Source organism: Homo sapiens, chromosome X (genome assembly GCF_000001405.40).
Source record: "Homo sapiens chromosome X, GRCh38.p14 Primary Assembly".
Classification (NCBI taxonomy): Eukaryota; Metazoa; Chordata; class Mammalia; order Primates; family Hominidae; genus Homo; species Homo sapiens.
This window is the reverse complement of record NC_000023.11, coordinates 141,641,050-141,667,266: the sequence shown is the minus strand read 5'-3', so window position 1 is coordinate 141,667,266 and position 26,217 is coordinate 141,641,050. Positions and strand designations below refer to the sequence as shown.

General features: G+C 35.2%; 1 long non-coding RNA gene across 1 annotated transcript in view; it reads right to left on the bottom strand.

Annotated features, from left to right (window-relative positions):
* Positions 1-17,327: 17,327 nt before the first annotated feature.
* SPANXA2-OT1 (SPANXA2 overlapping transcript 1) overlaps positions 17,328-26,217 on the bottom strand; it is a 147,091-nt gene continuing 138,201 nt past the window's right edge. The window contains exon 4 of the long non-coding RNA NR_037183.2: positions 17,328-18,468. This is a non-coding gene — a long non-coding RNA (SPANXA2 overlapping transcript 1). The remainder of the gene's footprint in view (positions 18,469-26,217) is intronic.

The window sequence follows — 26,217 nt, the reverse complement described above, 5'->3', positions numbered from 1 at the left end:
TCAATGAGTTGTAATGATATTTTCATGTAACTATTTATTTAATATCTGCCCTCTTTCCCCATTAACCTATAAGCTCTTTAGAAGGCAGGAACTATAGAGCATGCTAGATGAATAAATGGAGTAATATAAAAAATAAAATATCAAGCGATGAGCAAGGGCTATCTTTCTTTTTTTTTTTTTTTAAGTCTTTGCATGTCTTTATTCTCTCTTCATATTTGATTTGGCTCGATAATTTCCTCTCAGAATTTTGGTAGATTTTTTTCCACTTTTAGCTTCTGGTGTTGGTGTTAAGAAGCTCAATGCTATTTTGGTTTCTATTTCTGTTTTCTTTCCTTTCTTGAAAGACTTTAGGATTTTCTCTTTACCCTTCTTATAAAACTTCTCAGAATATGCTGTAGGTTGATGTCTTTCTGCACATTGTGCTGTGCCTTGTGAAACTTACGTCTAACAGATCTGGGAAATTTTTCTTTCTTTTTTTTTTTTTTTTTTTTTCCTGAGATGGAGTCTCACTCTGTCACCCAGGCTGGAGTACAAGGGCACGATCTCAACTCACTGCAACCTCTGCCTGGGCTATCTTCTCGAACTGACAGTGGATGATTGACTGGTACTCCCCTTAGAAAATAGTTCAGTGCCTAACAATGCTTAAAGAAAGGGTATACAATCATCGAGTGCTGATTATTTGAATTGCAGGCATAGCTCCCGGTTAAACTGAGTATCCAGTCCAAAGTTTCCTAAACTTTTCTGAAGATAAAAATCACCCATGGATATTTACCAAAGTACACTTGCCAGGCCTACAACTCACTGATTTGTCAATCACCCAAGAATATTCTTAGCAGCAAGAAAATTTGAGCAAGCCCGATCTATAGCAAAGTACCTTTAAGTCTGTTCCTTAGTTATTCTGCATGAGAATTACCTGGGGCAATTGTGAAGTGCACAGTGTCCTAGGATATACCCCAGGCTGACTAAATCAGAGTCCCTGGGAGGGGTACATAAAATAAATTTACATTAAAACAATATTTCCCCAATAAAATTCGATGGATCAAAATTTGATAAACTTTTTCTGTAAAGGGACAGATAGTAAATATTTTCACCTTTGCAGGCCATACAAACTCTATTACACTAATCAACTCTGTCATATCACTGCAAGGCAGTCAGAGATAATACCAATTAAGAGATGTGGCTAGATTCCAATAAAATATTATTTATAAAAGCAGGCATCAGGCTGCATTTAGACTTTGGGCTATAGTTTTCTGACCTCTCATCTAAATCATTTCAAACTTGTTTTATTGATGGTAATGTCTATACTTCCTTGATTCTAAGGCATCATCAATTTTAAGACATAATATCTAATTTTAAAACAGTGTTTACATACCTGGCTAGCCATATGCAGAAGAATTAAACTGGACCCCTCCCTTTGACCACATACAAAAATTAACTCAACCTGAATTAAAGATTTAAACGTACTATTTCAAATTATAAAACTCCTAGAAGAAAACCTAGGAAATACCCTTCTGGAACATTAGCTTTGGCAAAGAATTTCTGGCTAAGTCCCCCAAAGCAATTGCAACAAAAACAAAAATTGATAAATGAGACTTAATGAAACTAAAAAGCTTCTGCACAGCAAACAAAACTATCAATAGAGTAAACAGAAAACCTACAAAATGGGAGAATATATTCTCAAGCTATGCATCAGACAAAGGACTAATAGGTCTAATATACAAAATCTACAAGGAAATTAAACAAATCAATAAGCACGAAACAAATAACCCCATTAAATAATGAGCAAAAGACATGAACAAACACTTCTCAAAAGATATGTACAAGTGGCCAACAAACATATGAAAAAAATGTTCATCATCACTAATCAGCAGAGAAATGCAAATAAAAACCACAACAAAATATCTCACACCAGTTAGAATGGCTGTTATTAAAAAGTCAAAAAACAACAGATGCAGGTTAAGTTACTGAGAAAAGAGAACACTTATACACCATTGGTGGGAATGTAAATTAGTTCATCCACTATTGAAAGTAGTTTGGAGATTTCTCAAAGTACTTATAACAAAACTATCATTTGATCCAGCAATCCCATTACTGAGTATATAACTCAAAGAAAATAAATCATTCTACAAAAAAGATACATGTACTTGTTTTTTCATCACAGCACTATTCGCAATAGCAAAGACATAGAATCAACCTAGGTGCCCATCAATGGTAGATTGGATAAAGAAACCGTGGTACATAAACACCATGGAATGCTACACAGCCATAAGGAACAACAAAATCATTCCCTTTGCATTGACATAGATGCAGCTGGAGGCCATAATCATAAGCAGATGAATGCAGGAAGAGAAAATCAAATACCACATGTTCTCACATGTAATTGGGAGCTAAACATTCAATACACAGACATAAAGATGGAAACAATAGACACTGCAGACTACTAGATGCGGGAGAGAGGCAGGATGGGTTGAAAAACTAACTATTCGGTACTATCCTCACTACCTGGGTGAGAGGATCTATACCTCAAACTTCAGCATCACACAATATACCCATGTAACAAATCTGCACATGTACCCAATATATCTAAATAAAAGTTGAATTTTTTTTAATAAAGGCCTTTATGAAATGTTATCAAATACATATAAATGCTTACTGATTATAATACATCCTGAAACTTGCACCACAACAGGCCAAGACTCCCAGCTCATCCCCCCATCTCCACAGTGTTCTAAGCCCAAAGAATCTTTCACTGTATACCTTGGAACTCACTGTCTATTATGAACCATATCTACTTTATTCTAAATCTCCTTTCATAATGTTTATCTTACATATATGCTCTAACTTGATTTTAGATAACCCTTCAGAACCCTGATTCCCCATTACCACTTAAGTGAAAGTTGTTTACTTTCTTACACTCCTCATATCAGTAGGCTCAAAGGTTGGAGTGGACGTCTTCCTATTTCTATTGCCATTCGCAAACCATTCATCTCTGGCTTCAAAATCCGCAGCTCCTGTGTAGTACAAGCCATCAAATCACACCAATTCCAATTCTTGTTTTAATTATGGAGACTTCTCTATTCTACTTACCATTTATTGAACTATTTGTCCCCTAAATGATTTTTATGCCTGTCACCACTTTTAGTGGCTTCAACACCCATATCTTAGACAATTCCTCAAAGAATATGATTTCTCTGATCTAATTTCAGTCCAAATGTCATCCATCTTACCTTAGTGATATGTGCCTATGGCTATTTCTTAGACGTTGTCATTACTTAAAATTTTACCTTCTCCCAAGTATCAATTTTATATGTCATTATCTGCCACCTCGTATTCTTCTAAGTCACTCCCTCTAGTGCCTTTAAAACAATTCTTTGACCACATTGGGACTACCAACACATTGACTTTTTCTATTAATTGCTCATCATGAATGTCCCTCACTCCCATGCATTCAACTCCAACTCTTTTTTTACTCTATTCCTTCATTCAACCTGTTGCTCTTTAGAAAAAAACCCTTCAAAAGTGCTGTCTATATTTTTGGTTTCAAATTACCTTTTTAGTCTACTCCAGTTAGACTGTGGATCTCATTATTCCATTTTTAAACAGTTTTTTTCAGGGAGACCATAACCTCCATCTTGCCATGTCCAATGGTCAAGTTTCTTTCCTCATTTTATTCAACTGCCAGTCACATTTGACATCACAGATCACACACTCTTTCTTGAAACACTTCCATCATTTGTCTTCTGGGCCACTACTCTGTTGATTTTCCTCCTACCTCACTGGCAACTCCTTCTAAGACTCTTGTTGGTTTCTTTCATAAACCTCAAAACAACTGGGTGCCCCAGGACTCCTCCCAGAAGGAATCCTCTTCTCTTTTCAGTTTATATGCACTCTTTAGACTATCTCAACAAGTCACATAGTTTTAAATACCATCTGCATACTAGTAGCTTTCAACTTGCAAATGTACAATTTTAGCCCAGAATTTTCTCCCAAATCTGGACATGTATATCGAGATGATACAAATCTCTATTTGGATGTCTAATAGGCTTCTAAATTCTAACATAATCCAAGCATGATCCTTTTGCAACTCCCCAGGAATATCCTGCTCTTCCCATCATCTTCCTTATCCCATTAAACTTCAACTCCATGCTTGCAAATGCCTAGGCTTAAAACTTGGAATCATTTTTTAGCTTTCTCATACACTACACAATTAGTCCATCAGCATATGCAGTCTGGCACATTGTCAAAACACATTCATAATTCGATGACTTCCACTGACACCCACGTTCACGTCATCATTGTTTCTTATCTGAATTGCCTACTCTAAGAGCTGCCAAATTTGTCTTTTGGCTTCCACCGCCCCACGCCTCAATATATTCTATACACACTGTAATGAGACTTTTATTTTTAAACAAGTGCCATTATGATTCCCCCAGTGCTTAAAACCATCAAACGATTTCTTATCTTACTAAGAATAAAACTCAAAGTCCTCAATATGGTCTATAAGGTCTTGCATCATCCGGACTCTGGATAAATCCCTAGTTCTCATTTCCTACCACTCTCCTACTCACTTACTTTGTTTCTGTAGCAATAGACTCCCTGCTGTTCATTGAACAAGCCAAGCACATGCCTATATCAGAGACTATGCACTTGCTGTTCCCTCTGCCTGCAACTCCCTTTTCTCCAGATAACTACCTGACTTCCTCACATCACTCAGGCCCTCCCATCATTCAGGTGCCTGCTAAAATGTTATATTTTTAGAAAAACTTTTCCTAATCCCTTTGTATTAAATAGTATCCCACCCACCTTCTATCTTCTTAACTGCTTTATTTTTATTTCATAGCATTTATGGCCACCCAATCTAGTATTTTTTTTTGCTTGTTTATTGTCTGTCAACTCTAAAAGAATGTAAACTGCATGAAGGCAGACATTTCTACCTACCTTGTTCACTGCTAGGTTCCCAATCCTTAGCAGCCATTCAATAAATGTTAATTAAATAAATGTGTAAGTAATCATTAAAAGGTCAAATAAGACACCTTATAAGTCAGAAAATAGCTTCAGAAAAGGATTTAAATAAATAATAAAGCAGGGCGGGAGGCTGAGGTGGGTGAATTCCCTGAGGTCAGGAGTTCGAGAACAGCCTGGCCTACATGGTGAAACCTAGTGTATACAAAAATTACAAAAATTAGATGGGCGTGGTTGTTGTCACCTGTACTCCCAGCTACTCGGGAGGCTGAGGCAGGAGAATCGCTTGAACTCGGGAGTGGAGGCTGCAGTGAGCTGAGATCACGCCACTATACTCCAGCCTGGGCAACAGAGTGAGACTCCGTCTCAAATAATAATAATAATAAAGTTATAGTATCTTAAAGATTTAAATAATAAATTAAATTAAATGCATCAAAAATTTTAAAAGAATCCAAGGGTGGCATTGTGGAGCTATTAGTCAAAAAATGTAAATAGTCATTAAAAATGCTGAAAGGATGATAGTTGGCATCTATAAGAAGAGTTTTCATGGAGATTCTAAAGCCAAAGAATGACAAATTTTACCCGCATATGGGGCAAGTTACTGTGACATTGACATCCCACTATATATAAGTTAACTGCTTTATTCAAGAAGACATAATATATTCATGAAAAGAGAATTTGCTTTACGTTCAGCTGATTAACATGATTGAGCTCTTCATAAATGTGAATAATTAATAATATCAACAATATATAACAAGCAGATACGTTATTTTCATTTTCAAAGTACCTTTACATAATCTTCAACTGGAGTTACCACGAAGTTGAGAAGCTGTTTTTGCCATGAATAGAGAATTGCCTTATAAAATAAGAAACAAAGACTAAGGGAAAATTGCTCTGGACAGAAAGTACAAATGGAGAAATCTCCCAGGGTTCAGCCTAAGCCGACAGTTTTTATAAGTGATTTGAAGGAAAGAATGCAATTGACACTAAGCTCTTCTGGAGACAGTGAGATGCCAAACTGCCAGGGACAGAATGCAAGAAAATTACATAAGGCTACATCAAAAAGAAACAAAATTATAGATAAGTTTCATTACTGACAAGGGCAAGAAAAAAATTCTCACGATTCTATTTCAAGCTATGAGCTATTACATTTTTACTCTAAGAAAACTTATATGTCTTTGGGCCCTGTTTTTTAGAAACAAAAAGTTCTAGAAAATATTAAGCTTTATTAGAAAATATACTGGAATAAGCCAAAATGCAGCATCCAATTGACATACAGGATTGTGGTGAGTGCACACCAGGAGCATAGTGTTATCACATCTCAAATAAGATATAAATGAGATGAAAATTCAGAGGAAGGCAACAGAAATGATCAGTGAAAAGAAAGAAGTGCCTTCTAAGAATCAAAAGACTGTGTGTCTTCAACCTGAAAGATAAAAATACTGAACATATGTTATTGAAGTCTGAAAGATCTTAAAGGGGGGTGGAGAAACAGGATGTAGCCATGTCCACCACATTGTATTATATCAAAACCAGTAGACCTCTCTTGAAGTATGAAAAAAAGTAATTTGAGGGCACAAAGAGGGGAATTCCACTATAGATAGCAAAGCTATTCATCTATTTGCAGATTTCATGAGTGCCTTCCATGCACCAGATACTCCAAATTATGGAAAAATATTTTTCATTGAATATGCGTAGATGGGAATGAAAATTCAGTGATTAATATAACATAGATTATCCCTACATGGGCGCCAGACTGAAAGGGAAGAAAGACAAGTAAACATATAATTATAATATTACCCAACCAGATATACCTGAAAATATCTCAATTACTTCATTTAAATTTCTACCACCACTACTCTAAGCCACCTCCACATTTCTTGCTTGAACTACTTAAATATATTTTTATATTTAAAAACATCTTCCTTCTCCAACTCCTTCTCTTGAATTCATTCTCCTTACAATATTGAGAATAATTTTAAGAATCAAATCATATCATTACACACTTCTGCATAAAAGCTTTCACTATCATTCCACTTCTATGTCCTGAACTATAACAACCTGCATGAGCTGGGCTATTTCTCTCAAACTTCATCTCACGCCCATACCAATATCCCCTTTCTGTCCTGACATTGACCTTCTTATCTGTTCCTGTAACATACCAATAAGTAATTTCCACATGCTTGTTTGTTTGGTTTTGTTTGTTTTTTGAGATGGAGGCTCGCTCTGTCACCAGGCTGGAGTGGAGTGATGTGATCTTGGCTCACTGCAATCTCTGCCTCCCAGGCTCAGACAATTCTCCAGCCTCAGCCTTCCGAGTAGCTGGGACTACAAGCGTGCACCACCACGCCCAGCCAATTTTTGTATTTTTCATAGAGACGGGGTTTCACCATGTTGGATAGGATGGTCTCGATCTCTTGACCTCGTGATCTGCCCACCTCGGCCTCCCAAAGGGCTGGGATTACAGGGTGAGCCACCGCGCCGGGCCGTTGTTTCTTTTTATCTGGCATATTCTTGTGTGTGCTTTTTGAGTGACTAGCTCCTTCTCATCCTTCAGATCTCAGCTTAAGTTTCACCTCTTCGAAGAAGACTTCTCTGTCCACTAATCTAAACTACTGTCCTGCCCCATGGGCTCTATTACCAAATACTATTTCCTTCCTTCATTGTTCTCAAAACAATCTACATGTTTATCTATTTGTATTTGGTCTATAAAGGTTCACTGGGGCAGATACCATATCTGTCTTGCTTGTCTTTGTGTCTCCAATATACAGTTCCAGTACCTTGTACATAGAACTTCATAAATTGGAATTAAAAAACAAATACATGCATATGATAACTTCTACAAAAATGAGGTCGAATTTTTCAGCTACTTAGGAAAGACAGCATAATTCACACTATATTTCTATGTATTCATGCATTAGGAATAGCATTTCACATAAATTAACCTTGAAGAGAGAAATACAAAAGAAGAAGGAAATTTTCCACCTTACAAAACTACATTACTTTAAGAGGTAATGGATACTGAAAAGATGCTTAACTAAGTTCAAGGATAAGTCACTATGATGTGTTATTAATGAAAACTAAGATGTTTGGAATGACATTGTAGCCTCTGAGGTCTGTATTATTGAGACAGTCATACCCTTAAACATCATTCTTTTAGTTCTCCATGGGTCTGACCCAGGCAGAAACGGATGTTTATTTAAGATCTCATACTCTTATTATATTTGCTATTTTTCTTTTCAATTTTCCATAATTCCTGACATATACCCTTAAATATTTACATCCACAGCAAAGAACATGCTTATTTCAAAATAACTGTCGAGTCTAAGACTTTAAAGAGTTATACTTTACATCAATATTTTTAATGAATTGAGTCATATTAAATTTTTATTTATTTTATTTTTTATAATTTCAACTTTTATTATAGATAAAATGGTGTGTGTGCACAATTTTACCATAGATAAAATGGTGTACGTGCAGCGGTGTACTTACATGGGTACATTGTGTGATGCTGAGGATTGGGGTACAAGTGATCCTGTCACCCAGGTAGTGAGTATAATATCCAACAGATGTTTTTATAGCTTATGCCCCCCTCCCTCCTTTCCCCATCTAGTAGTCCCCACTGTCTATGGTTCCCATCTTTATGTCTATGTGTATACGATGTTTACAATGTATACACACTATTATACACACAGACATACAGATGGGAAGAATAGACAGTGGACACTACTAGATGGGTCCAGTTTCACTCTTCTGCATATGGATCACCCGTTTATCCCAACACCATTTATTGAATAGGAAGTCATTTCCTCCTTGCTTATATTTATCGATTTTTTCAAAGATCAGATGCTTAATCAGATAGAATGCGTGGTATTTGGTCTCCTGTTCTTGCATTAATTTGCTTAAGATAATGGCCTTAAGAAAATGGCCTTCAGTCGCATCCATGTTGCTGAAAATGATACGATTTTGTTCTTTGTTATGGCTGTGTATTATTCCATCGTGTATGTGTACCACATTTTCTTTATCCACTCCACCATTAGTGGGCACCTAGGTTGATTCCATGTCTTTTTCTATTGTGAATAGTGCTGCAATCAACATGCCAGTGCATGTGTCTTTTTGGTAGAACAATTTGGTTTCTTTTAGGTATATACTCTGTATGAAACTGCTGAGTTGAATGGCAGTTTTGTTTTAAGTACTTTGAAAAATCTCAAAACTGCTTTCCACAGTGACTTAACTAATTTGTATTCCTACCAACATTGCATAAGCGTTCCCTTTTTTACTACAACCTCGCCAGCATGTGTTATCTTTTGATTTTTTAATAACAGCCATTCTGACTGGTGTGAGATAGTATCTCATTGTGATTTTGATTTCTATTTCTCTAATGCTTAGTGATCTTGAGCATTTTTTCTTATGTTTGTTGGCCACTTGTATGTCTCCTTTGAGAAGTGTTTGTTCATGTCTATTGCCTATTTTTAACTGGATGTTTTATTTTTTTACTTTTTGACTTGTTTCTTTTAGTTTCTGGATATTAGACCCTTCTCAGATGTATAGTGTTTGTTTATGCTATTGACAGTTTATTTTGCTGTACAGAGGCTCATTAGTTTAATCATGTCCCTCTTGTCCATTTTTGGTTTTGTTGCAATTGCTTTTGGGGACCTAGCCAAAAATTATTTGCCAAAGCTGATGTCGAGAAGGGTATTTTCTAGGTTTTCTAGAATTTTTATAGTTTGAGGTCTTACATTTAAATCTTTAATCCATCTTTAGTTACGTTTTGTGTATAAGAAAGGAATCCAGTTTTACTCTTCTGAATATTGCTCACCAGTTTATCTCAGCACAATTTATTGAATAGGAAGTGATTTCCTCATTGCATATATATATATATATATATACACACACACACATATGCATATATATATACACACGTATATATATACACATATATATATACACGTGTATATACATGTGTGTGTATATAGATAGATAGATAGATTTTGTCAAAGATCTGATGCTTGTAGCTTTGTAGCTTTATTTCTGGGTTCTCTAACCTATTCTGTTAGTGTATATGTCTCTTTTTGTACCAGTACCATGCTGTTTTTCTTACTGTAGCCTTATAGTATAGTTTGAAGTCATGTAATGTGATGCCTCTGACTTTGTTCTTTTTGCTTAGGATTGCTTTGGCTATCTGGGCTCTTTTGTGGTTACATATGAATTTTAGAATAGATTTTTCTAATTCTATGAAAAATATTGTTGGTATTTTGACAGGGATAACATTGAATCTGTAAATTACTTTAGGCTGTGTGGCCATTTTAACAATAATGATTTTTCCAATCCAAGAGCATAGAATTTTTTTTCTTTCATTTATGTCATCTCTCATTTCTTTCAGCAGTGTTTTGTAGTTCTCCTTGTAGAAGAACTATCCACCTTTTTGGTCAGATGAATTCCTAGGTGTTTTGTTTTTTCTTTTTTTTTCAGGTTATTGTAAATGGGACTGTGTTCTTGATTTGGTTCTCAGCATGAACATTATTGGTGTATAGAAATGCTACTGATTTTTATACATTGACTTTGTTTTCTGAAGCTTTACTGAAGTTGTTTAATAGTTCCAGGAGCCTTTTGGTGGAGTCTTTAGAGTTTTCTATGTATAGAATCATTATCACCACTAAAGAGAGATAGTTTGACTTCTTATCTTCCTATTTGAATGCCTTTATTTTTCTTCCTTTGCATTGATTGCTCTGGCAAGGATTTCCAGAACTACCTATAATAGGAGTGGTAAGAGAGGGCATCCTTGTCTTGTGCCAGTTCCCAAGAGCAATGGTTCCATTTTTGCCTATTCAGTATGGTGTTGGCTGGGGGTTTGTCGTATATGGCTGTTATTATTTTGCATGTTGTTTCAACATTACACTAAAGAAGATAAGCTTTCCACAAAATTCAAGCCACAAGCTCTCTAAGTTAGATGCAAGTTCTTATTTTTTTGACTTCTCAATACATTTGCATATTCCTCTATTATATGAAGTACATTTGTTCATTTCTTCAGAAAGTGTTTCTTAGGTCTATTTAACAAATAGATCTAATGTATCTACCATGTCCAGTTCTAACTTATATCATTACTGTGTAGATAACACTTTAGACCAATACTATGTAGACAGTCTAACACTGAAGCCATCTTCCTTGAGACCAGAGTATGTAGCTAATTTTTTCTGCATATCTGCCTGGCAGATCTCCTAACTCAGTGATTGACACATATGAAATGCATGTTAATGAGAACTGATTGAATCAAAGCAGTCCCTCTAAGAAATCTCCCATGGATTTTGATTTCTACACATTGGCTCTAGACTTAAACTATAAAAATCACATAAAAAACACATAAAATCACTTCTGGTGAGCATCCTGTCTCACATTCAGCTCAATAAAACGAATGTAGAAGCAAATTTAATGAATATGGAATCTTCACACTAACATTGCAAGTTGGGGATTCAGCCAAGAAAACCATTATGATACCTTATAAAACTGTTATTCCAGAGAAGCAAAATTGCTATTCTGAATAACTGCTCTCTTAATCTAGGAGATGTGCTGGATCTAATTAGACTACATTAGCAAGATGAAATGGCAGAAAAAAGAAGAAACTTTTAAAGGTTCCTAATACATATTTGCATAATAGTTGTTAATGGCTCCTCAGATACTGTTAGAAACTTTCAAACACACTTTTATGCTTAAAATGACCCAAAAAGTGTATCTACATGATAAACTTAATGGATCATGTGGGGAAACTAAAATCCTATAGGTAAATAATGAGCAGTTGTAAAAGCCTCTTGTTACATGTTCATTAAATGCCAGAAAGGCATTTTAATTGCTGACATGGTGACTTGGACAACCATGTACTTTTTAACAAGTGCGGCTTAATTGTTCAATCTCTGCTACAATTTTTTAAATTTTAATATAAAAAAGATAATTTTAAAAATATTCTAAAGCTACTGAGTGCTCCCTGTTTTAGTAAATTAGATGAACAATTTCCAGTTACAGAGACATTGCATTATGAAAGGAAACAAATACTTTTTTCTTTATCATTTAAAAAATATTATGTATATTCACCTATTTTCAGAAACAATTTTATCTAAATTAAGGTGACCAGATAATTAGGTATACCGAGATTTGATTCATTGACATTGTCTATAGAAAGCTGGTTTTTACTTAGGGGGTTATCTATCTTTCTCTTAACAATCTTGCTTGTTTTTTATTATCTTGGATGCTTTATCACAGCTGTAAAGTGAGTCTTTATACTTTTCCCTCTCAAGAGCTACTAGTTCTCTTTTTAAAATAAAATCACCAGAACTTAGCTGTGTAGAAAAGACAGCATACTTTATCTTATAGTTCCTGTTTTAAGGGTTATTATTCAAAATTTATTTACCTACTTTGAATGAAATTTACCATCAATCAACCAGAGTAATGAGGTGAAGCATCCTTCTGTTTTAAGTACACAATCTCTGGTTACTTAATATTAAACCACTTAAATTCACTGCGAACCAGGGCACCCAACTCTACCTAGAGATATCTTGTTTAGAAACATTAAATATCCAAAAGCTTTAACACAAGACTTGCACTTTAAAGCACTCTGTAAGATCAATTTGGAAACTCTGCTTTGTAAATAGAATTTCTTTGTGATAAGAAAAATTAGCATGAGATCTACCCTCTTAACAAGTTTGTATGTGTAAAATACAGAATTGTCAACTATAGGCACAATGTTGCACAGTGGATCTCTAAATGTATTCATCCTCAGTAACTGAAACTTTACACCCATTGATTAGCAGCTCCACATTTTCCCCTTCCCCTACCCGCTGGCAACCACCATTCTACAATCTGTTTCTATGAGTGTGACCATTTTATATTTCTCATGTAAGTAGAATCATGCAGTATTTCTTCTTCTGTAACTGGCTAATTTCATTTAGCATAATGATTTTGCTTCATTTTTAAAATACAAGTTGTAATAGATGTAGTATTGCATTTTGGAAGCCATTGAGCAAATAATAAGCTAGCCCAGGATTATAATTGTAGACTAGGGAAGATATCCTTTTGTAAGATTCATGCTGAGGCTGGTTAAAATTCACTTTCCCTCTTTAAAGAAGCTACACAAACAAAACTCTGTCAACTACTCGAACAATTTTTCTGTGGAAAAAAAAAAAAAAACTTAGACACTGTGGGAACTCTAAAAAACGTTCTCTGATAAGCATGCTGATTGGGCCAAAACATTATAAGACTGCATTCCTAACCAGTCCTGATTACTTCCTGAGAACAAAATATAAATAAGGAAATTGGTCATCACCTCATAGAAAGTCATTTTCATCTGTCTTCTCTTCAATTTTCACATCCCGAGGGATGTGTTATGGGACACATAGAGGCTTGTCTCCTTCCAGTGTTCCGTTTGTGGTTTTGATAATTGTGATTTCAAAATGACGTCCAAACAAATGACTCTGTTCTGCCTTTAGCAATCTATCAGTATCAGCGGTCCTTTCCTTCTACCTCTTCAAGTTTGTCTCATTTTCCTCTCCTTGCTCTTCCCTCTAGCCACTGTTGCTTTTCTCATGTCAACCAAACTTCCTTGGGCTTTGAAAAGAGTCACTACTCGTTCTCCAGGCGTAGATGAAATAATCGTGCTCTGAAGGGCAGTAAGGGACAGTAGCACACTTGCTCCTGTAACGTGCCCGTGTAATGTAGACATCCGAAACTCATGCACTTGGCTCATGGGGCTCACCTCTTACCACAACTGCAAAGGCAAGTCCGTATCAGAAGAGACCAATTTAATAGCCTGCAAGTAAGCAGTTACACGACACAGAGCCGCTCACAAATATGGGAAGCAAGATAAATCAAATAATTTAATAATGCATGAAATTTCTACAGGAATCAGCCCAATTATGAAGAGACTGAAAATAAAAGAACACCAGGGAATTACAGTGAGTCAAAATGAGAAATGACTTTTAATAAATTGCACTCAGGATTACTTTAGAGTCATATATTGTGAAAGCTTGGGCTAAATGAATGCTGAGTTCCCTTTCATTTTTGTCATTTTGCAGATGAGGTCTTGAGTGGTGATTTCACCAAAGTTTGAGTTGTGTGATCCTGATCAAATAATTTAATCTCTCTAGGACTCTGGTTCCACATCTATAAATGGGGAGAACTTTTGGGAAAAATAAAAGTGACAAATTGCAGTGCTTGACAGGTCATGTCGTGGGGTTGGTGACTGAATAGTCTATAAACAGGAAAAGGTTTAATGCTTTAGTAAAATATTGCTGAGTGACATTCAAGGGTAATAGTAATTAATTATTAATTCAATAAATAAGTGAATTTAAAATTATGCATGCTAGCTGTCTTCTAAATGCTAGTCACTTTGCAGCATTATAGAAATATGAAGATGGATAAAATAAAATCACAGGCCTCATCTGCCTCATTCACATCCCTATTTTCATCCTAATTAACATATTTCCTACCTTCTTCTCACCTATTTCTTGTTATTTTGTTGTATAGCCTTTTAGTTGTCTTAAGTTCTTGCCAAAATAAGGTCCAGCATAAAAAAAATAAGGAAAGTATTTAGTTCATTTATACATACATACACACATAAACCAGTCCTTACCCTTGTAGAACGCTTTTAGGAAGACACACCCATTAACAATTGCAACATAATGTGATACATCGTGCAATTGAGATGTGTGCCATAAAGCATATAGAGGAGGTTTAACTCACTTTGGAATTAGGGGGTGTCCATTGGAGATTTCCTAAAAGAGGTGACATTTGAATGGAGCCTTGATGAATGAGTAAGCATTAATCATGGGAAAGAAGGCACGCTACCCTCAGGAAACAAAAAGAGGCAGGAATACGCCTAGGGAATGAAGAACTGTATCATATAGCTAAAGCATAAAGGAGCAGGGCAGGGCACTAAAGTGTGGTATTCTGGTGGCTAGGACATGGTAAGCGGTGGGAGAAGACAATGCAAAATAAAACCATTAATCAAAGCACAGCACAACACTGTTTCAAGACAGTAAACTCAGAGCCATTTATCTTCAGTTGTCATTAGGTATACTGCAACGGCTTTCCCATGTCCACCTGAAACTGTGCACTAAGCAAGTACATTCTTTATCAAAGTAATTATCTAAAATGCCAAGTCCTTTTGTTGTTTAGGCATTAAACACTCAGATTTCCAGCAAGAATTTAGAGATTTCCCACTGAAATCTTTTCATAGTAAAATAGATAAAAGTTTTGCTTTATTGACCTTAAACAAGGACATTTTAAAGGAGCCTAAGCATGGTTAGAAGCACTTATGCTCCGACACCTTTCAGTCAGTTAAAATATAAGGGCTTCCTCTCACCACACAAAGCTGAACAAAAGGCTGTCGTAGTTGCTATTGTGGAAAAACTTGCTTAATCACACAAATGTTTATTTTTATTTCAAATAAAAATGACCTTTTAGTCCCTCAAATATCCATGTCAAAGTCAATCACAGAAGCATGCCATATTTTTCCTTTCCTGAATTTTTTAATAACCCTCTATCCCAAATTCCTCCTAAAAAGGTATTACAGTGATAAGGAGGTGCCTATTGACTCCTCCCCAGCATTAGGTTATCAGTGGCCTGCACTCTGACTTCACACAACCAAAAGTATGGCTCATCTCCAGTGGCTTACATTTGAAGGGAAATTCAAATTAACACCAGAAGAATTTCTGGTTCACCTTACACACTACAGAAATTGCCTGCCAAAATGATGATCAGCACATTATTATGTAACTTTGGGGCTCTGAATAGCCAGTAAGAATGTCTTGGAATGCAAATGGACACATTTTTTGTTTAACTAACCTATGTAGGAATGAATGTGCTTCTCCAGTGAAAAATTATATATGAAAAAATATTATGGGACTATGTAACCAGGTAACCAGTGGCGATTTAATTCCCATTTGCATGAACTTAAGTAAGTCACTTGCCTTATCTTTGTTTCAGTCTTCTCATCTATAAAATGGATGTTATAATAAATTTGGGGAATATTTTGTACAGTAGTTAAGTAAAGCACTTAACACTATGCTTGACACTTTGCCTGTGTCATCATAGATAATACATATTATTATTATTGCTATTATTTCTCTAGAGTGATCCTACAGAATCATCAATACTAAGGCCACTAGAATTCCTTAAAAATAAGTACTCAGTCACCATATACTGAAGTTTTTTGAACTGAGGTATTTTGAACATTACTTAACTCAATAAGCATCTACTGTTATTTTACAATATTCAGGGATCTGTGGTAATGACAGATAATTTAGACAGGTTTTATTCCCAAAGAGCTTCCAATTTAAGAGTAAATATAAATGCACGCGTGGACAATTTGGTACAGAATTGTCTGTGAAGGCTGCTATATTAGATGTGGAGAGGAGATTATAAGAATTTAGAAGCCATAGGATTTGTCTCTATTGGGCAGTGAGGGGGGTGGTGGTAAGACGTTGCCTCAGAACAAACATTTATTGAAAATCTTCTATAGGTCAGACTCCATAGGAGGCACCAATTATACACAGTAAGAGTAAGATATACATTATCCCTGCCCTCATGGGATTTACTCTAAAGTAAAAAATACGGGAGGATTTGGTTTGGTAGGGGGAGAGAAGTCAGTTTTAAACACTTTGAGTTTGAGATCACTATGGAACATTGAGGCATAAATATTCATTTGGCACATAGGATGATGGAAATGGAGCTCAAAAGAAAGCTAAAGACTGTAACCTCCTTGAGAGGAGGAACTTTGTCGTACTCACCATTTTACTCACAGCACCAAAAGGGCTTTGGCATGTAGCAGGCACTTGGTCAAATTTGTTGAATGAATTGATACACAAAGACAAAAAGTCACTACTCTTCCTATTATTATTCCTATCATTATCACTTTCATTATCATTCTTATTTCTGTATATTGACCAGACAAAATCACCCAGAAACAAAGCTACTAAAATTGGCCTTGGTAAAATCTTGAGATTCAATGAGATCATTGGGGATGTTCAATGCTTTGTGTATGTAAATCTACATAGCTACTGTTGGATTTGAAATTTTCTGGATAAAATATACACATTCTTGGGGAATCATTTTACCCTATATTTTCTTCTTTATAGATTTAACTAACATTTCTTGAATACCTTCCTTTACCAGACGTCATGCTAACCGCTGGGAACACAAGCATAAACTAGTTATCTGTCTTCAAGAAGCTTGCAATTCTCAAATGGCATCGCTCACATCAAGAAAACAGTGGCAGAAAAGTGTAATCAAAATATATTATGTTGGTGCAAAAGTAATTGCACCAATCCAATAAAAAGAAGAAACAACATTGGGCAGTAGGATATCATACCAGAATTGTTAGATTACTGTTTATTTCCAAGAGCTGTGCTAGCGTATTTTCAAATACCAAGTATGAAATGTCTCTCTTTTTAAAATAAATCCCCAGTCTAATTTTTCCATCCAGATATCTAGATATAATAGAAAAGCATATTCCAATATGTCTTGGTATAACTTTGGGGAGGGCTGCTTTTCATCTTCCAGAACACAGCTTAATTCTTGAGGGGAGACTCAAGATTCATCACAATGAGCTCAAGGAAATAGAACAATTCTTTCAGAAAAGGTAACAGCTTTGATTAATAAAAATGATGGCATGGTCTTATGTATTCACACTATTTTGTTAAATGAGGAAAAGTGTCTATCCTCCAAAGTGGCCATGTATGCAAGCTTTTCCATTATCTGTAACATAGCAAAAATAAAGAATTTGTTCTATTCTAACAAAAAATTCCTGTTCATATAACTGGGGACATGAACAGAGGGTGGGAGAAATGAACACTTGCTATAATGAGTCCCATGAAATGGGCTAAACTTGTGGCTGCTCAAGATATTCAGGTAGTTAGCCTTAACAAATGAGGTCCTAAATATGGTATGATGATATATGGTCCAAAATATAGTAAAATAGCCTTTCATAATTACTTTTGTTTCTAGAATGTTTTTTAGAAATAGATGGTAATTACATAGATTTTGGAGTATAAACATATGTGTATCATGGGATTTAACACACCTGATTCCTAGTATAAATATGGTATGTAAATTATAATATGAATTAGCATACATAAAAATATGCATATATACACATCCTCATGCATAGTGTGACCAACTTGTCCCAGTTTGCTGGGGCTGTCCTGTTTTTAAAACTATAATTTTCTTGTCCCAGAAACTCCTTTAGTCCTGAGGAAATCAGGAGAGTTGGTATCTATACTCAGGAAATACATCAGTGGAAATGACAATGCTATACTAAGTTGAAAGTCTAGCTTGCTTTTGAAGTGTAAGCAGAACAAAGTACTACAGAAATCTCACAGAACTGCACAGATTTTCATCTTGATTCTCTTCTTGGGTGTCCAACAATTCAGGATTACTGGATGAACATCCCTTTGACACTGGTTCTTGCCAAGATCTGGGCTAAGGGATCGCTTTCTTTGGTGAACATATCAGAAGAGACTGGCAAAAAAAAAAAAAAAATACACAGAGAAAATTATCGTCAAAAATTTGCTCAACAGTACCTAACACAGAGTTTAGGCTCTCAATAAATATTTTTGAATACAATAACTTAATATTCCCACTTCCAAGGATTCAATTTGTGACAACACTAACTTGCAAGATCACAGATTGGCTGATGTAACATAATCTTATTTATGATAAAAAATGCATTTTCCAATAGCTAGCATTAAGCTTTCTGTGTTAAAGCTTTCCTGATTATCCTTGGCATTTTGGTAATGCCAAGAATTACCACATTAATGGTAATAATTTTCTTCTTTAAGCACTTATAACACTATACAATATGTTTGAACTTTTCCATATACTCTTTAATTCATACAGAAACTCTGAGAGGATAAGTACTGTTATTATCCCAATTTTTCAAATGAGGAAACTGAGGTTCAGAAAAGTAACTTGTTCAAGGTCACTTAGAAGTTAAATTTATGTCAGCTATAATTACCTAACCACTTAGATATACTATCTCTTTAATGTATTTATTAGATCCAACTACTCATTCATTCTATAAATATTGGTTGAGTACCTATGAAATTCCTAGCACTGTTATAAGCTGTGGGAATATAACATCGAGTCAAATAAAATGTCTCTATTCTAATGGAGACAACACTTGGGTAGGGAGACACAAGAAATTATTATTCCATATAATATCAGCAAATAATAGGGGTCACTGAGTGTTTTAAAGTGAGAGTTCTGGGAAAGAGAGGGGCTATTATAGATTAGGTGGTCAAGGAAAGCCTTTCAGTGAAAGTAATATTTGAACATAAGAGAGAGTTGAACAAACAAGGGAGTTAAAAGCATCCCAGGCACAGAGAAGGGCAAGTGTACAGTCCCAAAATATACACTGCAAAATGTACATCCAAAATGATCATGCTTCTCAAGTTCCAAGAAAAGGCCAGTGTAGCTAAAGCACAGGGGTAGCGGGCAAAGTAAAAGGCGACAGAGTCAGAATATACATGGCAAAGCTAAAACAATGCTCTTCTTGGTAATGATATATTCCATTGGCACATACAGGCAATTTTACCCAGTAATGTGGACATGTGATAATTTCAATCAATTAATGTGTTCATTTGAACTACCTTATTTATGGGCACAAATGAGAATAATAAAAGAGGGGATATACAAGTGAGTTTGGAAGATACACATAAAATTTAACAAGATATGAATACTGGCCACTGAAGGTGGATGGAATTCTATCGGACAATGTAGACTAACAGTTTTTTGAGGGGATCACCAAACTTTTTTGTAAAAAGCCAGATAGTAATTTTTTTTAGCTTTGTGGGCCATATAGTCTCTGTGCCAACTACTCATTTCCACTATCATAGCACAAAAGCAACCACAGAAAATACATAAATTAATGGGCGTATCTTCATGCTCAAAAAAGCTTTATTGACAAAAGCTGGTAGCAGACAAGATTTAGCCCATAGGCTATGGTTTGCTAACCAATGCTATAAGTAAAAGATATATTTTATTTCTTTCTGTGCTACATCAGATTTTTAATGTTTCCTCCTGAAAAAAAGAAAAGAGAGAAGCATGCATGAAGATGAAAACGTAAAAGTGAAGGGCACCAAGAACGTCTTTTATGAGATCTTCCCAGGGGGGCAAAAATGTGTTCTCACCAAGTCTTGCACCCTCCCATTCAGCACAGAGCTTGCAGCCCAGTATGTATTCAGTCAATATTAGTGGAATTTGATTGGCTGTTTCTGTCTTTAACTGGTCACTTGGTGATATTTCATTTTGTCTGGATCATCCCTACCATTATCACTAATTGTCAAAAAAGGATTTAATGAGTGCGTGTGAAAGTACCGTACTATATGCTGTGCAAAGAATGATAATCTGAGAATTTTTGCCCTGGCTATTATATTAATTGTGAGAAGTCAAAGTCTTTTAATAAAGGGACTATTGATTATCTAGACTCTTTATCAGGTGGCCTCCCATTCTTAATCTTGCAGATATACACTACTGTTTTCTCCACAATTTCCTATGAGAAAAATATTATCTAATTTGTTAAAGTGTAATTATTCATCTGGGTTTGATCCACACCACTGAGGCTTTCCCCTTGCGGAGATTTATCTGAACAGCCTGGGTCTGAATATCGTGGATTTCCCACTCACTCTGCCTATTTAGCACTAAGATAATCCCTTGAAAAATGGTATATTCCTACACCTAAATTCAGTTTCTTCTACCCTATAACATAATATTATCATTTCTTGAGGGTTGGAAGAAACAAAAAATTAAACAGTACATTCAGATTCTATGTATATAGTATAAAACTATGTTGATAAACATATTAAAGAAACATAAACTCGAAGCATTTTAGCTAATGATAAAAGCTATAATTAGTAGTTTAGCTTGAAGTTAGTCTGCATCCATTACTAGGAATTAAGACAAGTGACAGTTATGGTGATAAAACAGAAAATAGACTAAAGAGACATTAATATACTTATTTTATACAAGGGCATTACTTATTGGCAGAAATAAGAGGGTAAAGTTTTGCTTTATTAATACAATTTTTTGAAAAGACTATGAAATAAGAAGTAAAGATAAGTCAAAACACTGAGAAGTACAAGGAGCCTCCAGCTGGTTAAATGAAAAAATGAACAAAAACTATTTAAAAACAACATCAAATTTTAATGGCAAAATGAAAACCTTTGCTTGAAGCAATAAAGAGACAAAATAAAAACATCACCAGTCAAGCTAGCAATGAGAATGACAAGCTTAAGAAACTTCACCACAATGTAGAGATAGAGAATGAAGAAATGAAAATGATGAGAGAGGATTGTAGATATGGACAGATCCAGGTATGCAGTGTCTAGAAGAAGAAACAAGAAGTCATGGAACTGAAGCTATCTAATCCAAGGCATCATTGTTTCTGAACTGGTGGAAAAGCTGAATAAATACTTTGAAGAGTATCATCATGTGATAAGAAAAGTCAGTGAAAAGACAACCGGGGTTGGCCATAAACTGGCAAACTGTTTTTGAGGTACAAGCACAAAAATTTACAACCATCTGAGCAGGAATACAAGTTATCTTCGAAGGAAAATAAATTGGGCTTTTCTCAAATGTTTCATCTGGAACACAAAATGGAGACTGTAAATCATGATTTCAAGACCTGGTCTTAGCTTCCCTCTCTTTTCTCTGTACATTTTCTCCCTATATGATCTTGTCTATAATCACATTTTCCATACATTCAAAACAATTGCTAAAAGAAAACAATAATAAATTTTACTACATTACATATAAGAACTTCTTTTCTTGAAAAGACTTAATAAAGTGAAGAGGCAAATCACTAACTAGGAAAATATATTTTCAATGCATATACTAGACAAAGGATTACTATCCAGCATATAAAAATCTTCAATAAATCATTAAGAAAATGATAGACTACTCAATAAATGAGAAAACGGGTGAAATTTTTAACAAAAAATAGAAATTAGCAAAGGGCTATGAATAATAAAATGATATATCCAATAATAAAATAATATATCCATAACGTGGAAGAATAGGCAGAAAGTTGTTCAAGAATAAAGTCATATATACTAACATGGTTTGTTACTCAAGATTTAGGAGACATATAATATATTGTGGGTTTTCCGTAAAAAGAACCCACAAAAAATAAAACATTATGTACTTTTTACATTGTGTGTTTGTGTGTAACAACTTTGTCCTTCTCTTCCTAATCATCATCCACACTGGCCTAAATGTATTCCTTAAACAAACCAATAAAACCATTTTTGTTATTCTTGTTTCCTGGAATATCTTTATTTCATTTACTCATCTTTCAGCTCTTATCTCAAAACTCACCTCCTCAGAAGGTCTTTCCTGGTAACCTAAAATAAAGTAACAACTCTCTTACTGCTATCATTTTCTAGCCCTTTGTTTTTCTGCCTTTACAGCACTCACACTTAAGACTCTTAACGATTGTGTTTTTTTATGTTTTACCCCTCAGTGGAAGACAACAGAATGGCAGAACATTATTCTTATGTTTTAAATGTCCAACAATCACACACATAACTGATCTTCAGAGTGCAGGTGCCCTGTCCCTCCTTAGTCGTCCCTCTCAAGGTTAGATAGCCTCAGTTCCTTCCATCATGTTGGAAAATCATTCTACTCTGAATAGTCTTCATTTCTTATTATTCACTTTAAACATTTTAACACCTCTCCAAACTGAATAGACTGTTAATTACTATTGGACAAAGTGAAGTGAAGTGTCTCTCTCATTTTAGTCACTATACTTTCATTTATGCAGTCTAAGATAGCATTCATTCATGCAGTCTAAGATAGCATACATTCTTTTGGAAAATGACACAAATTATACTGTGATTCACACTGAGTTTACCACTGACACTAAACCGTCTTCTGCAAGTGCTGCTATGAAATGATGCCCCCAAACATGAATATGTGTATTAGATTTTTGATCTCAAGGGTGTAGATTTATATCAATTTTTATTAAATTTCATTCTGATATATTTTGTCTATCATCCCAGCTTGTCAATATGTTTTTAGATTCTAATTCCCTCACCAAAACTATTTGTTCTCCCTTACAACTTTATCCATGAATTTGATGAGCAAACACTTAACTGCTTTATCTAACTCACTGAAAATAACCATAATCAAGACAAGGTTTGGGCTAGTGTCCTGTGGTATACAATTATAAATCTCTCTCTAGTTGTATTACAGTACAATCAGCTATAATGCGGCCAGTTAGAAACACAATCATGCTTATATTTCTTCATATTGTCTACAATATATTATGAGAAATAGTTTCCAAATGAGCTGCCGAGGTCCATATGTATTTTGTTACCTGCATAAACCTTATCTAATAAGCTACTAAACTACCTAATAATAATAAATATACCAAAATGACAGTACTAACAGTTAATATTTGAGTGCTTATTACGCACTATACAGTATAAGAATTTTATATGAAAGAGTTCCTCTAATCCTCCCTATGAAACCAGAAATATATGCACTATGTTCACATTCTGAAGATGAAAAACTGAAGTCCAGAGAAATTAAGTTAGAAAAAAATATAATTACTCAGAAATAAGTTATTTTTGTACACTCATAGTTTTTATTTTTTTGTAAGCGAAGAGTGCACTTATTTTCTTCAAGGTATAGTATTTTGCCATGTAGCATATTCTCAAAATAATTTGAAAATTAATATAATACTTTCTGAAACAACAGTATTAATCACATTTAAATATCAAATTGCTGAGGTATAAGAGAATGAAACATACAGACATTGTTAAATATGAGATATAACATTTCCTCATCCGGGAAGAAATTACTTGCCATTTGTAAAATCCCATAAAAAATTTGCTACCCAACTACCTCGGGAATTCTACAAAATAATCAATTGCCCATTCTAATTTGATGTTTATAATTCCACAAAACAGACGTTCTCTTCCCATGAGACTTTAGTGCAAACCTTAACTCCTCTTACCCATTTACTGTCACTGGCTAAGATTACTTAAAGGGCTTCATCTCTCTTCTCAGCTATCAGAATTGGGAGCTCTATCCACAGTTTATTGGTCCATGCAAAGCAGGAAGTAGGGACACGCTGCAGTTGAAATATGAGAAGAGTATGAGAACTCAGCCATGTGGAGCTAATGAGAACTGTCCTTTAAGAGCATAAAAAATGTACAAACGCTACCCTCCTAAAACCTTGTTTTATTAACCTTTATCAACTGCTGAGAAACTGGAACATGATGGAATTTTTGAACTTTCCTGTCAGCAGCAAAAGGGTAATGCTTTTTTGATTGCTGTTTGGCAAAAACCTGGCTTCTCATTCCAAAAGGTCTCAAATTAACTTCATCCTCAACTGATTAGAGAGCACAAGGATTACATGGTTTTATTTCTTCACTTTTGCCACCACTGTGTAATACGCAGGTGAGGAACATTTGTCGCTCTTGATGTAGAACAATTTATTAACGTTTGTCAATAGCTGACAAACTATTTACTACCACTGAGTTAATGCAGAAAGTTGCAGGGAAGTCACTGAGAATGTATTCGAGTTGAAATGAAAATGATGAAATTCCACTTTTTTCTTGTTTTACTCAATGGAAATTAAAAGCAGTTCTTATTAACAGTTGCTGGTTGCCAGGCACAGTGGCTCACGCCTGTAATCCCAGCACTTTGGGAGGCCAAGGCGGGCGGATTATCTGAGGTTGGGAGTTCGAGACCAGCCTGAGCAACATGGAGAAACCCCGTCTCTACTAAAAATACAAAATTAGCCAGGCGTGGTGGTGCATGCCTGTAATCCCAGCTACTCAGGGAGGGTGAGGCAGGAGAATCACTTGAACCCGGGAGGCAAAAGTTGCAGTGAGCCGAAATCACGCCATTGCGCTCCAGCCTGGGCAACAAGAGCGAAACTCTGTCAAAAAAAAAAAAAAAAAAAAAAAAAAAAAAACAGTTTCTGGCATTTCCCTACAGTAGGATCACTTATCATTTGTTTTTTAATCCTGTCAATAAGAGCTGTTGTTTTCTCCCAATGATAACACACCCTAATATGTGACAGTGCAGAATAACATACTTGTCTGTGCCTATGCCTGAAAAAATATTTTTTTAAAGGTCAAAGACAAATTTCTATTTTAGACTCTGAATCTCCCCAAGCAGCAGGTTTTAGCTTTTTGCATTTTAGTGTGGATTATGGCTGTGGACTTTGGAGTCAGTCTTCCAGGATTGAAATTTTGATTCTACTGACTGCTATTTATGCGCTCTCTGCCTCTATTTTCTCATCTGCAAAATGGAGATAATAGTCACATATCAACTACGTAATAAGCCTGTTGTAGAATTAAATTCATTAATTCATGTTAAGTGTTTAGAACAGAGTCTACTACCTACTGAATGTATTTGCTGTTGCTGTCACTAATGAGAGGCCACAGAAGTGTGTGATCTAGATCCAGGTTCTGGCTCAGATTTACTATTTGTAACCTATATGACTTTAAGCAGTACATCCTACCTAACCTCACTGTTTCTCAGATTCCCCATCTGTAGCTTGGGGTTAAGGATGTGTATCTCAAAATGCTGTTTCACAATAACATGAAATAATTCAGGTAAAGTGTTTAGCATAGTATCTAGCACCAAACAAGTCAGGAGTGTCATTTACCGCTAATATTTCTTGCATGAGAATCATTTGTATATTTACAAACACGAATAAGAAAAACTTTGCATTTTCCAGGATACAAACGCAATTAACCTTTCTATGTGTTTACTAGTTATTCGTATGCTTATCCTCTGAATCATTTCTTATTAAAGTTATTAAACACTTGCATGATTTTTTATTAGCTCGTTTCTGTTTCTGTTTTCATCTCGATTTGTAGGAATCTGTACATATACAATGATGCATCACTTAACTATGGGAATGTGTTTTGAGAAATGTGTTGTTAGGCAGCTTTCATCATTGGGTAAACATCATAGAGTGTACATACACAAACCTAGATGGTATAGCATACCATACACCTAAGCTATACGGTACAGCCTATTTCTCCCAGGCCACGACGTGTACAGCATTTTACTGTACTAAATACTTAGGCAATTGTAAGACAATGGAAAGTATTTGTGTACCTAAACATAGAAAACTTAAAGTAAATGTATGGTATAAAAGATAAATATGGCACACTTGTATAGGGCACTTACCATGAATGGAGCTTACAGGACTGGAAATTAGTCTGGGTGAGTCTGTGAATGAGTGGT